The sequence below is a fragment of the Homo sapiens genome, chromosome 1 (genome assembly GCF_000001405.40).
Source record: "Homo sapiens chromosome 1, GRCh38.p14 Primary Assembly".
NCBI classification, from domain to species: Eukaryota; Metazoa; Chordata; class Mammalia; order Primates; family Hominidae; genus Homo; species Homo sapiens.
Window position 1 is genome coordinate 34,672,509 of NC_000001.11, and position 16,133 is coordinate 34,688,641.

Consider the following 16,133-nt stretch of genomic DNA (forward strand, 5'->3'; position numbering starts at 1 on the left):
GATTACAATTCAGCTTACATTCAATATGAGATTTGGGTGGGGACACAGCCAAACCATATATCAGGTTGTCATTTTCTCATTGGCTTGCAGGAGGTTTTTTGTTTTTTGTTTTTAACATATTCTCAATGCTAATCTTTCCCACTTATTTGTGTTACAAATCTTTTCTTATAGCGTGTGCTTTTTCTTTTTATTTCTGTTAGAGTGTCTTTTGACAAACAAAAGTTTGTAACATAGTCACATTTTTCATACCTGTTTGTGTGGCTCCTACTTTTGGATTTTAAGAAATCCTTACCTATCCTGAGGTCATAAATGCACCCTGCCTCTCTATTTACAGTATTTAAGAACATAAACTCCCAAGCCAAACTGCCTAGGTTCAAATCCTAGTGATGAAAACTTGATCAACTTATTTAACCTCTTTGTGGCTCAATTTACTCAAATGCAAAGTGGAAACGATATTAGTACCTACATCATATACATGCTCTGTTGGACTAAATAACCTCTGTTGAAAATAGTCTGGAACATAGTATTATGTGCTATCATCATAATCATCATCACCAAGCTTTAGAATATTGACATTTACATTTAAAGTTTTAGCAATCTACAATTTATTTTTATATATGGTTTGAGGCATTATCCCAACATTTTTATGGCAAATTATCAATTTACCCAATACAGTTTTGTAAATTGAGTCTTTCCTTACTGAACTGTAGTACCAGCTCTGTCATAAATCAAGTTTCCCTTTGTATTAGGTATTAGGAGCTGTTCTGAGATTTCTATTTTCTTCCATTGGTCTGTCTATTCCTAAGACAGTGCCACTCTGTTTTAATTTCTATAGTGTTGTAATGCTTTTTGATAAACTAGTTCTCCACCCTCTTCTTCTTTAGCAGATTTTGACTATTCTTTACCCCTTATTCTTTCATACATATTTTAGAATCAGTTTTTCAGAATCTTTGATAAAGAAACCTATTGAATTCTAACTGAAATTGCATTGAATCTATGTTTGAATCAATTTGGAAAAAAAGAAATTTTTACATTATTGTCTTTCAATCTATGAACTCAGCCTTTTTCTTATTTATTTATTTATTTATTTATTTATTTATTTATTTATTTTTGGCAGAGTCTTGCTCTTGTTGCCCAGGCTGGAGTGCAATGGCACAATTTTGGCTCACTGCAACTTTTGCCTCCTGGGTTCAAGCAATTCTCCTGCCTCAGCCTCCAGAGTAACTGGCATTACAGGCACCTGCCACTATGCCCAGCTAATTTTTGTATTTTTAGTAGAGATGGGGTTTCAGCATGTTGGCCAGGCTGGTCTTGAACTCCTGAACTCAGGTGATCCACCCGCCTTGGCCTCCCAAAGTGCTGGGATTACAGGATGAGCCACTGCACCCAGCCAGCCTACTATTACTTTATCATTTTTTAATGTTTTCAATATTTTTTATATGTTCTCCATAAAGTTTTCATACATATTTTTTAGATTTACTCCTAGATATTTTATTGGAGATACTGTAAATGGTATCTATTCTTTGCCTCTTATTTCTTCATATATATTTTAGAATCAGTTTTTCAGAATCTCTGAAAAAGAAACCTATTGAATTTTAACTGAAATTGCATCAAATCTATGTTTGAGTCAATTTGGGAAAACAGAAATTTTTACATTATTGCCTTTCAATCCATGAAACTAGCCCACTATTATTTTATCACTTTCTAATGTTTTCAATAGTTTTTATATTTTCTCCATAAAGTTCCTGTACATATTTTTTTAGATTTACTCCTAGATATTTCATTTCATTGGAGGTACTGTAAATGGTATCTATTTTGAAGTAAAATTTGGACTGCTTATTGCTGATGTAGAAAATGCAGTTAACTTTTTGCACTGGTTTTATATCCAGAGACCTTTTATTAATTTAATAATGTATCTGCATATTCATGGAGGGTTTCTATGTTTATAAGCTAACATTTTAAAGTGATAACAATATGATTTTTCTTCGTGATCTGTATTTCCTCTGTGTGTTTGTGTGTGTGTGTTATTTGCCTTGTTTCATTGGCTAGGGCCTTTAGCATATTGCTGAAGAGATGTGGTGATAGCAGACGGCTTTGTATTGTTTCTTATCTTAAAGGGAATGATTTCAGTGCTTCGCCTTTAAATAAGATATTTGGGGTTGGGCGCGGTGGCTCACACCTGTAATCCCAGCACTCTGGGAGGCCGAGGCGGGCAGATCACGAGGTCAGGAGATCGAGACCATCCTGGCTAACACAGTGAAACCCCGTCTCTTCTAAAAATTACAGAAAATTAGCCAGGTGTAGTGGCGGGCGCCCGTAGTCCCAGCTACTCAGGAGGCTGAGGCAGGAGAATGGCGTGAACCTGGGAGGCGGAGCTTGCAGTGAGCTGAGATCGCGCCACTGCACTCCAGCCTGGGTGACAAAGCGAGACTCCGTCTCAAAAAAAAAAAAAAAAAAGATATTTGGTATAGGTTTTTTGTAAGTGTCCTTTATCAGGTGAGAACATTTTCTTCTATCCCTGGATTACAAAGACTTCTTTAAAAGATCATAAGTGAATATTAAATTTTATTATATTTTTGTATCTATTAAAATGATTGATATGGTTTAGATTTATGTCCCCACTCAAATCTCGTGTCAAATCAGAGGAGAGGCCTGGTGGAAGATGATTGGATCATAGGTGCAAATTTCCTTCTTGCTGTTCTTGCGATAGTGAATGAGTTCTCACTAAAATTGTGTGGCACTTCCCCCTTCGCTCGCTCTCTCTTCTGCCACCATGTGAACAAGGTTGCTTGCTTCCCCTTTGCCTTCTACCATGATTGTAAGTTTCCTGAGGCCTCTCAGTCATGCTTTCTGTTAACCCTGCAGGACTGTGAGTCAATTAAACCTCTTTTTTTTCATAAATTATCCAGTTTCAAGTAATTCTTTATAGCAGTGTGAAAACAGACTAATACAATGCTCACATTGCTTTTCTTCTTTATCTTGTTAATGTAAGGAATCACATTGATTTTTTATGCTTTAATGCTTCCCCAATCTTACATGCCTTAGGTAAACTAGCTTAGGGCATATTATCATTTTTCTACATTGTAGGATTTTGTTTACCAACATTCGGTTTAGAATTATGTGTCAATGTTCTTAAGTAAAATTTGCCTGCAATTTTCTTCTCACACTATCATTGTCAAGATTTAGTGTTAAAATTATACTGGCTTTATAAAATGGGTTGGGGCATATTTGTATTTCCTCTTTATCTATATTATAGACTAGCTTGTGTAAGATTGAAAATATCTATCTCCTGAATGTTTGGTAAAACTCACAAGTAAAATCATTTGGGAGGATCTGATTTTTCTTTAGGGTACATTTGTAAACTAATCGTTCCATTTATTTAATAATTATAGTGCTGTTTGTTTCATATTTCTTCTTGAAACCATTTCTGTAGCTTATATTTCTTTAGAAATTTTTCCATTTCATCTAAGTTTTCCAAAATATTAGCTTAAAGTTGTTAATTATCTTTTAAATATCTGCAGCATCAGTAAATATGTTTGCTTTTTTTATTCCTTACATTGCTTTGTCTGTCTTCTTTCTTTTTCCTTGCTCAATCTTGTCAGAAATTTTTCAACTTTATTAGTTTCTCAGAGAAAGAACTTTTGGCTGCATTAAGCCTCTTCATTGTGCATTTGATTTTTATCTCATAAGTGTTTCTTTTTAAAAAAAAATGTTTCCTATGTTCTGCTTTTTTGGATTATTCTTATGTTATTCCTTTTTAAATTCTTCAGTTGAATATTTAGTTCAGTGGTTCTCAATCAGGGACAATTTTGGCCCCTATGGGACATTGAGCAATGTCTGAAGATATTATTTGGTTGTCACAACTGGGGGAAGAATGATATTGGTATCTAGTGAGTAGTCACCAAGGATGCTGCTAAACATCCTACAGTGAGCAACACAGCCCCAGAAACAAAGAATTATCCAGCCCAAATGTCAAGAGTGCTGAAGTTGAGAAGCCCTGGTCTAGCTTATTAATCTTCAGCTTTTATTCTTTTCTAATGAGACCACTCAATGCTAAAAATTTCCTGTTGAGTACTGCTTTAGCTTCTTACCATAACTTTTTTTTTTAAATACAGTAAAATTTGCTTTCTTTTTGGTGGACTCTTGTATGAGCTTCAATATGCATTCACCACACTCAAGATATAACACGGGTTCATCACCCCAGAAAATGCTCTCATGCTGCCCCTTTGTGTCAAACTCTTCCCCTACCACTGATCCACTCTCCATACCTATAGCTTTCTAGAATTTCATGTCAATGTAATAATAGAATATGTTTGTTTTGAGACAGGGTCTCACTCTGTTGCCCAGTCTGGAATACAGTGGTGCAATCACAGCTCACTACAGTCTCAGACCCCTAACTCAACTGATCCTCCCGCCTCAACCTCCAGAGTAGCTGGGACTACAGGTGCACCCTACCACACCTGGCTAATTTTTTTTATTTTTTGTGGAATCAGAGTCTTACTGTGTTACCCAGGCTGGTCTTGAAAGTCTTTCAGAATATACATAACTCTGGAAATGTCTTCTTTAACTCAGCATAAAGCCCTTGAGATGCATTCACACTATTGCATAAATCAATAGCTCATTCATTTTTTATTGCTGTGTAGTATTCTATTGTACGGATGTACTATGGTCTGATTATCCACTTACACATTAAAGGACTTTGGGCTTGTTTCCATTCTTTTGGTGTATCGAACTGCTATTTGTGAACAGATCTTTTTATGTAAACACTGTTTTCATTTCCTCAAGTACTCAGGAATAGGATAACTGGATCATATCATAAGTATATGTTTATAAGAAATTGTCAAACTGTTTTCCAGAGTGGCTGTACCATTTTCATTCCCAGCAGCAATGTATGAGAATTCCAGTTGCTCCACATACTCATCAGCATTTGATATTATTAGGTTTGGGTTTTTTAATATAATTTTGTCCATTTGATAGATATGTAGTCATTTTGGTTTTAATTTTCATTTCTCCAATAGCTAATAATCTTGAGCATCTTTCCCTGTGTTGATATGCCATTGATATTGTTTCTTTAGTGAGATGTCTGTTCAAATCTTTGGGTTTTTAATTTGATTATTTGTTTTCTTGCTACTGAGTGTTTTAGCAATTTTACTGAGGTCTAACTGAATACAATAAACTTCAGATAGAAAATGAACAATTTGGTAAGTTTTACCCACTCATGAAACTATTATCAAAATCAAAACCAATAGTTATAGTGAACATAACTATTAACCTAAAATTTCTTTGGAATCTCTCCTTCTCTTCTCCCCTTCCCCAATTCCAAGCAACCATTGAGCTTTCATTTTCTAGAAATTTTCTAAGCTTGCATTTTCTAGAAATTTATAAAAATGAAATCATGGTATAATTCTTTTTGCTTGGCTTCTTTCATTTAGCAAAATCATTTTTGAAGTTCCTTCATGTAGTTGTGTGTATGAGTAGTTCGTTCCTTTTTATTTCTTAGAATTATTCTATCTATGGGCTTACTTCAATTTACTTTTCCATTCACTAGTTAATGGACACTCAGGTTTTTTGTAGTTTAGGACTACTATTTGAAAATAAGTGCTATAAGCTGATATAAATGTTTATGTAAAACTCTCTGTATGAACATAAACTTTCTTTTGTGCAAATCGGAGTAAAATGCAAGCTTATATAGAAGGTACATGCTTAAGTTTTTAAGAAACTGCCCAACTATTTTCCAAAGTGGTTTCCATTTTACATTGCCATTTAGAAGTGTATGAGAGTTCCAGTTCCTTCACGTCCTGGCCAACACTTGGTATGGTTAGTCTTTTTAATTTTAGCCATCCCAATGGGTGTGTGGAAAATCTCATTAGGTTTTAATGTGTATTTTCCCAATAATTAATGATTTTGTACACCTTTCATATGCTTATCTTCCATGACATATCTTTTTTGGTGAAGTGTCTGCTTATATCTGTTGCCTATTTTCTATTGGGTTGTGTTCTTGTTATCAAGTTTTGAAAGTTCTTTATATATTCTGGATACACGTCTTTTATCAGATATATGCGGTGCAAATATTTTCTCCTAGTTTTTGTCTGTCTTTTGATTCACTTAGCAGTATCTTTTGAAGAGCAGAAGTTTTTAATGTTGATGAGTTCCAATTGAGCAATTTTCTCCTTTACAGGTTATGCTTTGGGCAACCTATCTAGATATCTTTGTCTAATTCAAGGTCACAAAAATTTGTCTTTGTCATAGCATGTGTCTTCCTTTTAGTTATGCAAATTTCTACCTCTGGCTTGAATTCCTCCCCAGAAAATGGGTTTTTCTTTTATACCACATGGCCAAGCCGCAAATTTTCCAATCTTTTATGCTCTGCTTCCCTTTTAAATATAAGTTCCAGTTTCATGTCTTTTATTTGCTCAATCCATTTTGCTCACACATATGGACATAAGCTGTTATAAGCAGCCAAGTCACATCTTGAGCACTTTGCTGCTTAGAAATTTTTTCCACCAGATCCCCTAAATCATCACTCTCAAGCTCAACATTCCACAGATCCCTGGAGCAGGGGCACAATATTTTAAACAACCAGATCTTGTGAGGACTTCATCACAAGAACAGCACTATGGGGATGTTGCTATGCCATTAGAAACTGCCTCCCATGATCCAATTACCTCCCACTAGGCTCCACCTCCAGCACTGGGGATTACATCATTTCAACATGAGATTTGAGTGAGGACACAGATCCAAACCACATCATTCCACCCCGGCCCCTTCCAAATCTCATGTCCTTCTCACATTTCAAAATCCAGTCATGCCTTTCCAACAGCCCCCAAGTCTTAACTCATTCCAGCATTAACTCAAAAGCCCATAGTCCAAAGTCTCATCTGAGACAAGATTAGTCCTGTCTGTCTATGAGCCTGTAAAATAAAAGACAACTTAGTTACTTCCAAGATACAATGGGAGAATAAGCAGTGGGTAAGTACGTCCATTTGAAACAGGAGAAAGTGGCCAAAAGAAAGGGTCTACAGGCCCCATGCAAGTCTTAAACCCAGCAGGGCAATCATTAAATCTTAAAGCTCCAAAATGATCTCTTTTGACTCCATGTCACACATCCAGGACATGCTGATGTAAGGAGTGGGCTCCCAAGGCATTGGGCAGCTCTATACCTGTGGCTTCTCTCAAGGGCTGGTGTTGAGTGTCTATGGCTTTTCCAGAAGCACAGTGCAAACTGTGAGTGAATCTACCATTCTGGGATCTGGAGGACAGTGGCCTTTCTCTCACAGCTCCACTGGGCAGTGCCCCAGTGAGAACTCTGTTGGGGGGAGCTCCAACCCCACATTTCCCCTCTACACTGCCCTAGTAGAGGTTCTCCAAGAGGGCTCTGCCCCTGCAGTAGGCTTCTGCCTGGACATCCAGGCTTTTCCATGCATCCTCTGAAATCTAGGCAGAGGCTCCCAAGCTTCAACTCTGCACTTTGTGAACCTGCAAGCTAACACCACTTGAAAGCCATGAAGGCTTATGGTTTGCACCCTCTGAAGCAGTAGCCCGAGCTGTACCTGGGCCCCTTTGATCCAAGGCTGGAGCTGGAACAGCTGGGATGCAGAAGACAGTGTCCTAGGGCTGCACAGGGTGGAGGGGCCCTGGGCATGGCCCACAAAACCATTCTTCCCTCCTAGGCTTCTGGGCCTGTGATGAGAAGGGCTGCCGTGAATGTCTCTGAAATGTCTTGAAGGCCTTTTCCCATTGTCTTGGCTATCAGCACTTGTCTTCCTTTTAGCTATGCAAATTGCTGCAGCTGGCTTGAATTCCTCCCCAGAAAATGGGTTTTTCTTTTCTATCACATGGCCAAGCTGCAAACTTTCCAATATTTTATGTTCTGCTTCCCTTTTAAATATAAGTTCCAGTTTCATGTCACTTATTTGCCCACAAATATGGACATAGGCTGTTAGAAGTAGCCAGGCCACATCTTGAGCACTTTGCTGCTTAGAAATTTCTTCCACTAGATACCCTAAATCATCACTCTCAAGCTCAAAGTTCCACAGATCCCTAGAGCAGGAGCACAACACAGCCAGGCTGTTTGCTGATAGTGATATGGGGAGGCCGCAGGAAATTTTCAATCATGGTGGAAGGTAAAGGGGAAAGCAGGCACATCTTACATGACCAGAGCAGGAGGAATAGAAAGATGGGGGAGGTGATACATACTTTTAAACAACCAGATCTTGTGAGAACCCTGTCATGAGAACAGCATTAGGGGAATGGTGCTAAACCTTTAGAAACGGTCCCCATGATCCAATCACCTCCCACCAGGCCCCACCTCCAGCATTGGGGGTTACATTTCAACATGAGATTTGGGTGGGGACAACGATCCAACTCACTAAGTTACAGGTTTCTTGGGGGAGAAACTTGTACCTCACATTCCTCATCTGAAAAATCAGTCTAAGAGATCCTTCCTTGTATGAGTTCTTGGAAGATTGAATGTGATAATGTATGTAAAAAAGCCAGGCACACTGTCTGGCACATGCAAAGTATAAACAATAACATCCACAGTAATTTTTCACTGTTGTATCTTCAGTACCTAACCCAGTGCTCAACAAATATAATTTAAATAATCGATAAACTCTGTCTGTGAAAGTATTTGTAGTGTGTAAACCCCCACACAGGTCAGACGTGTCGTTTGTGTTGCTTTTGTTGTCACGTGTATAGTACGGCCCTTCCCCTCCCCTGGTTCTGACCCTGTGCTCTCCACTTTCTTCGCATTTGCCATTTGTGGCCTGCTGATCTATTTGTAATCTCCCTCCTCCCTATAGTATGAGCACCTTAGGGGAAAGGACCAGCTGTGTCTTGTACATCTCTGTATTCTCCTTTCCAGCACAGTTACTGACACACAGCAATCCTCAAAACATGGTGAAACATAGTAATAAAGGGTGAGCAAAAGGAGGAGGAAAAAACTATTCTTTTTTTTTTTTTTGCCACATGCCTAAGGAAATGTGAAGCAATTCTCCAAGCCCAAACATAAGAAATGTCAAAGTTCTAATCATCCCATGATGTCTAATTTTACTTCTTCTCTTCCATTCATCCCATTTACCTGCAGAGCAACAGTGCAGGGCCCTGTATACCCTGCTGGGTTCCCCAAGCATGAGACTTTACCCACCTTCAAGCCTGACACCCAGTGGTAAAAGTGGGGAATGCAGGCTACTTTTCCAAACCACTGCAAGGCATAAGGTCTCAAAATGCTTTACCACAGTCCCTCAGGTGTCGTCAAAGACCCATGGCTTCCCTCTCTACCTGGTCCCACTTTTCAAAGGGAGAGGGAGATTTGGGAAGAGCTGTGATATCAAAAAACTGGTAAGAAACAAAACAATGATTTGTGAATTGCACAATCACAAATGAGTGGATGAATTCTGTGGTATGTGGATTCTATCTCAATAAAGATTTTTTTTTACAAAAAATTTAAGTAAAAGAACCAAGGTGGCTATCATGATTCATCACCTAATTGATCTGGTGGATTTTTACTATAAATATATTTTTAATAGTGATTTTTGGTGATCTTTAATAACATACTCAGTAAGCAACCCTTTGTGCTATATAAAAACAAACATTTGCAGATTGCACAGCATTTGTCTGTTTAAAAAAAAAAAAAGATGAAAAACAAAACAAGAACTTTGATTTTTTTAATCTGTTTATAGCCCATCAGGGGGCCCTGTGTGGGCCAAGGACCATGCCTGGAAAATCCTCAGCCTGAGTACCTAGAAAGATCTTAAGTGTCTCTAAGTACATAGCCAGAGTTTGAGTGTCTCTAAGTATTGTGGAAAGAGTTTGAATGTCACACTGGGAAAGATGACCTCAGCTCTACCTTCTCATCTAGATAATTCATAAGAATCATTGTGACAAAGTGAGAAAAATTGCCGTTAATTATTATTGAACATTTCCTACTGGTCAGGAAAAGTAAGGTAAAGGACTGCCTGGAGCCTTACACATATTATTTAATTATCATGCCGCCACCATGACCTGGACACTATTGGTATTTCTTCTTTAACATTAAGGAAACAGGCTTATTTGTTCAAAGTCACACAATCAGTAGTGGCAGAAGCTGATCTGACTTGCCTCTGCCGCACCCTGCCTTCCGGCACATCCATTTGATATCAAATTTATGGTGGAGTTGCGCCATTTTCCTTCATGCCCGCTTTATAGTACATGAGGGTATGCTGTATAATTAATGTACATAGGCTCATTTTCTAGAACTCAGCACTTGTTTTCTTGTTTTAAGATTATTGTCAAGGTTTATGGTTATTGCACCTTGACTTTATGTTCCTATGTTGCTTATATCTGTGGTTATCTGAGAGTACTGCAGAGGAAGCATGCCTCTCTTTACAGAAAACTCATCACAGCAGTGGCATCACCTGGAAAGAACAGCCATCAAAATATGGGGTGAGCCATGATTAGCTCTGCCAGAGGAAAGGAGAGACTTGGGAAACTTAGGGCTTGGAATCACAGGAATGCAGCAAGGAGTGGGCCAAGCAGGGTGGGTCTGATCAGAAAGGCTTTATATGACAGGCCAAAGGGCCTGCCTGGACTTTATCCTACAAACAAGGGATTTTTTATAGAGGGGAGTACCATAACTAGATCTGTGTTTTGAAAACATCCATCTAGACTGGGTGCAGTGGCTCATGCCTATAGTCCCAGCACTTTGGGAGGCCAAAGCAGAAGGATCTTTTGAGGCCAGGAGTTTGAGACCAGCCTGGGCAACATAGGGAGATCCTGTCTCTAAAAAAAATAATTTTAAAAAATTAGCCAGGCATGGTAGTACACGTGTGTAGTCCCAGCTACTTGGGAAGCTGAAGTAGGAGGATTGCTTGAGCCTAGGAGCTCAAGGTTGCAGTGACCTGTGATGGTGCCACTGCACTCCAGCCTGGGTGACAGAGAAAGACCCTGTGTCTAAAAATAATTAATAGTAACAATAAAAACACCCATCTTGTTTCAGGACTGGCCAGGAACTACTCTGAGGAGGGGACCGCTCTGGGTGCTGGAGTCTGACAGGCTAAAACATGTCCATAATCAGGTTTAATCATGGCTCAGGAAAGTGTCTCTGACCCAGCACTGTCGGAGATCTCGTCTCTCTTGCCCTCTGTCCTGCTTCTCCAGCTAATCCTCCTCTGTGTCCCATGCTGGCCCACACTAGCTCACATCAGCCAAGACACCCCAGGTCTGAATTCTGGCTCTGGCCTCCCCAGCTGTACACCTGTGGCCAGTTTTCTCTGTGCCTAGTGTCTTCATCCGCACAAGGAGACAACAACAGAACATACCTCATGTGATTGCTGTGAGGACTGACACGAGCAGGTGTCCAGGAAGCCCTTAGAAGGGAGCCTGGCACAAGGTAAGCATGATATCAGCTGTTGCTCTGATCCCAATTACTCAGACCAGACAGCCTAGAATCACTGCTGATACAAATTCTCAGACTTCCTACCAGCTCTTGATCAAAGATTGGACTTTCAGATGAAGACTTCGCCCCTGGTATTTCTGTAGCTCTCTTTCCATTTATTCTTCCTGCTACTGAAAGGTGTTCATGTAAATGCCAGGACTATACCTCTGCTCAGATTTCTGCACTTAAATCTGTGCAGCTGTCTGGAAACTCCTGGGGATACCTTCCTCTGAGTTATTGTCTCTTTATGCTGCAGAAGGAGAGAACTTGGAAGGCTTCTAAGCTTGCAGTGGAAAGAGAACAACTTCCTTCCTAACCAGGAGGCTTCTCAGAAGCCAGCCATTCTATGCTACTTCTCTGATATCTCTGGTGTCAGCAGTCCCTCCCAAAACCTTGGCATGTTGATTAAAAGAAAGCAAAAACCCTGTCCCTCTACAGCTTCACCGGATGGCTGCTTTTTAACTGCTTCCTGCCCACTTTTGGATGAGTCACACGGGCCCCCCAGCTGCTCCCTTCTCTGCACTTAGGCTCCTTCCAATCAGAGAGCAGTTGCCAAGGGAACCACAGGTACCAGTCTCTCTCCGTACCCTGAATCAAGGCCTAATCTACATTGAAAGAAATTTCCATTCCGGAGCTCAGCAGATTTCAACATTTTACAACCTGCTTCAACCCTGGTTGCAGTCACTTCTTCCTTAAAGGGGCCGGTCTTCCTCCACAGTAGTTAAAACCTGTTCTTTAGCCTGAGACATTCACGGTGCAACTGAGATTTGCTTATAGGATTAATTTGGTTAATTAATCCTACTGAGATGTGAATGATAGAGTAGAAAGACAATAAAACCTGTTGGGCAGAGTCATTGCAAGGTTTAAACGAGATAATGTAGGTAAAGTGCTTGGCACAGTGTAGGAACTCAATAAAAACCCGTTCTGAGGGTGAGTGAAGACAGCTCAATGGAAGTGCTGCTAACAGGGAAAGACAGAGGGGAGCAGAGGAAGTGTTTGGGGCTCAGGCTGGGGATGCCTCTCCAATAATGCCATTTACAGGCCAGCCACTCTGCCTACCAGCAAGAAGGTCCTCCCATCCCCTGATCCTTCAGAGTCTGGATTAAATGGTTTCCTAGGAGGAACGAGAACAAGCCCTAACCACAGTAGCCTTCCCAGAACTCTCATCTGGAAATGGCATTGTGTCTAATTAATTTGTAAGTGGATTTAACTGGGCTTCCAACAAGTAAGAGCCCTTTCTTACCTTCAGGGTCCTCCATGTTACCACCTGGCGGAGGCTGCTTCCTCAGCTCTTACCCGCTGTCCATAGTGATCCAACTGCCTTCTATACACTCTACAACCACAGGAGGCTGGGAAGGCATGCTGCGTGCATAGAGACTGAAGGCTTCAAGAGCAAGCAGCCCAACCAGCCAGGAAGAAGCTTTATCTCCTTTTATGACCTAGCCTTGGAAGTCACAGACAGGCAGCTCTGCAGTTTACTCTACCTGTGTACACAGTCACAAAAGCCACTCAATTTCAAGAGGAGGGGACACAGACCTCATCTCTAAGTGAGAGTGGTGTAAAGGTCACTTCAAAGTACTATGAACTAGGTGGCTGAAACAAACAGAAATGTATTGTCTCACAGTTCCAGAGGCTAAAGTCCAAGATCAAAATGGTGACAGGGTTGGTTTCTTCTGAGGGCTGTGAGGAGAAATCCGTTCCATGCCTCTCTCCTAGCTTCTGCTGGTTTGCTGACAGTCCTTGGAGTTTCTTGGTTTATAGAAGCATCACCCAGTCTCTGCCTTCACCTTCACATGGTGTTAATTTTCTATGTCCAAATTTACCCTGTTTTATAAAAACATCAGTCATATTAGATTACATGCCAAGTCCAGCCTCTCAGAGAGGCCCAAGGACTCCCTAGCACCCCATCTTCTGTTCTGGAAAGAATGAGCTCCACTGTCTACAAAGCAGTCTCCAAAGTTCCATCTCCTCCCACCCCTGACACCAAAACCAAGCAAACAGAAAAAAGTGGGAATTAATGTGGGGTTAATGATCCCATTCCAGTATTGTATGATTCCCCTTATATGAAGTACCTAGAATAGGCCAGTTAATAGGAGCAGAAAGTAGAATAGAGGTAACCAGGGAACAGAGGGTGAGGGGAAGGGGGAATGAAGAGTTAGTGTTTAATGGGACAGAATCTGTGTTCGGGATGATTAAAAAGTTCTGGAAATGGAAAGTGATGGTGGTGCACCACGTTGCAAATGTACCTAATGCCATTAAGCTACACACTTAAAAAGAGTTAAAATAATAAATATTATATACCTTACCACAATTTTTAAAAAATTGACCTTATTTAGGGCAAACGACAAACTATGAAATACCAAGACAAACAAAGTTTGTTTTTTTTTTAGGGTTCATCATTGTCCAAAGCACTTTTATATCCCTTAATTTATTGAACCCTTTTTAAGACCCTAGAAGTTAGGTCTAATTATCGCCGTCCTACAGATGAGGAAATAGAGGCCCAGAGAGTTGAACTGCTCAAGGTCACCGGGAAGGTAAATGGCAGGACCAGGTCTATTTCTAAAATGCAGGCAAGGGCATCCACTTAGGTATTTCATTTCACACACTCCTTGGAGACCAGAACTGGAGGGAGCCTTAGAATGGATCTGCTTCCATCCCTTTGGAGAAGAAATTTGTTGCCCTGGCCAGCCTGTTCTTGGACCCTGACCAAAGGCCTTGGAAATCACTTGGGCTCAGCTTGCTGCTCCTTCACCTCTCTTCTGAAGGAGGTGCTGGTTGTGTAAGTGGTGAAGGAGGGGGGCCATCCTTCTCCCACGCCCCACCCATGTGACCTTGAGTATGTCACTTAACTCCACACCACTGCATTAAATGGGCATAATCAAACAGGACCTTCCTGAGAAAATTAAGGAATGGGAAGAGTAAACAATGTGAAGTACCAAGCACTTTACCCACAATAGGGTGATGTGACGATCTACCTTGTGCAGACCCAGAGCCAGCCCTGCTCTCTAATACACAGCTGGAAAATAGAACAGTGAGTAAATTAGAGTTCCAGCACAGAGACAGACTGCAGCCTGGGTTCTGTTTATTATTATTATTATTAACAGCCTTTATTAAGTCATAATTGTCATACAACAAATTGTGCAAGTCTAAACTACACAATTTGACAAGTCTAGACATATGTATACACCCTTGAATACATCATTACAATCAAGATATTGAACACCTCCATCCCTCCAACAAGGGTCTCCTTGTGTCCTTTGAATCCCTTCCTCCTGCCCCTTCCATTCCTCACTCCCCCATCTTCAGGCGACTACTGATCTGCTTCTTGTCAATACAGATTAGCTTGTATTTTCTAGGATTTTATATAAATGGAAGCATGCAGTATGTACTCTTTTATGTCTTGCTTCTTGAACTCAGCATAATTCTTGTGAGATATACCCACATGGTTGCATATATCAATAGTTCTTTTTCATTGCTTAGTATTATTCCATTGTATGGATTTGCCACTATTTGTTTATCAATTCACCTGCTGATGGGCATTTAGGTTGTTTCCAGTTTGGGGCTATTACAAATAAAGCTGCTAAAAACAATCATGTACGAGTTCTTCTTGTGTCAACAAAGACTTTCTTTTCTCAGGTAAAAACCTAGGAGTGGAATGGCAGATGCTATGATAGGTATAGGTTTACCTTTTTAAGAAATTGACAAACTGTTTTCCAAAGTGGCTTTACCATTTTCCATTCCCACCTACAGTGTGTTAGAGTTCCAGCTCCTCCACATTCTTGCCAACACTTGATACAGTTTTGGGTATTTTAACATTAGCCATTCTAGTGGGACTAGTGGATGTGTGGTGGCATCTCATTGTGGCCTCAATATGCATTTCCCTGGTGAGTAATAATGTAGAGCATCTTTTCATGGGCTTATTTTCCATCATTTCTTCTTTGGTGAAGTGTCTGTTCAAATTTCATCCATATTACTTACCAACTGTAACTTCAAGCAAGTGACTCAACCTCTCCATGCCTCAGATTCTGTAAAACAGAGTGACAGTCCCTACCTCATGGGGTTGGTGTGAGAATCTCTCCAATCCAGATTCCCTGTTTTCCTGCTTCCCCTTGACCCCATACAGCCTCACACCACATAGAAGCTTTATCCCAGCTCCTTAGCTTCCTCTTTTATGGAAGATACCACTCTCCATGCATACACACACACTCACACACTCTCATGATTTGATTCCCCTTCCAGCTGTGGAATTAAGAGACTGGCGTCAGGAGCAGAGCAGAGCAGAGCAGAGGCATATTGGTCTGGGTACCCAGAGACTGCATCTGACAGCCTGTCTCTTGGGCGCTTTAAACCACTGCTGAAAGACATTGATACATTAAGTTATTTTTCTTTCTGCTTGGATTTCCAACCTGTCTGTCTCCAAGGGAAAGGCTGTCTGAACCCAGCAGGGAGAGGAGAGGAGCCCCTGAGTTGCTGCAGAGGCCATTCGAATCCCTGAGTCAGCATGCCCCACGCCCCATGCACCTGCTCTTAGAGGGAGAGAACAGATGAAGCCATTGTCCTCCAGCCCGCTTCAGCTCTGAGGTCCTGCTTCCCCTCCCTCCAGTCCCTCAGATCTCAGCACTGTTGATGTGCAGTCTCGCCACAGAAAGTATGCATGTTCCCATAAGGGAGAAGGGAGGGCCCGGACACCAGACCAAGCCAGGGCCAGACAGACCTGGGC

The 16,133-nt window shown here is 40.7% G+C and overlaps 1 long non-coding RNA gene across 3 annotated transcripts in view; it reads right to left on the reverse strand.

The window, feature by feature from the left end:
- Positions 1-12,811, reverse strand: part of LOC105378641 (uncharacterized) — a 227,461-nt gene extending 214,650 nt beyond the window's left edge. For all 3 annotated transcript variants that reach the window (XR_001737964.2, XR_001737966.2, XR_001737965.2), the window contains exon 1: positions 12,657-12,811. This is a non-coding gene — a long non-coding RNA (uncharacterized LOC105378641). The remainder of the gene's footprint in view (positions 1-12,656) is intronic.
- Positions 12,812-16,133: the final 3,322 nt, after the last annotated feature.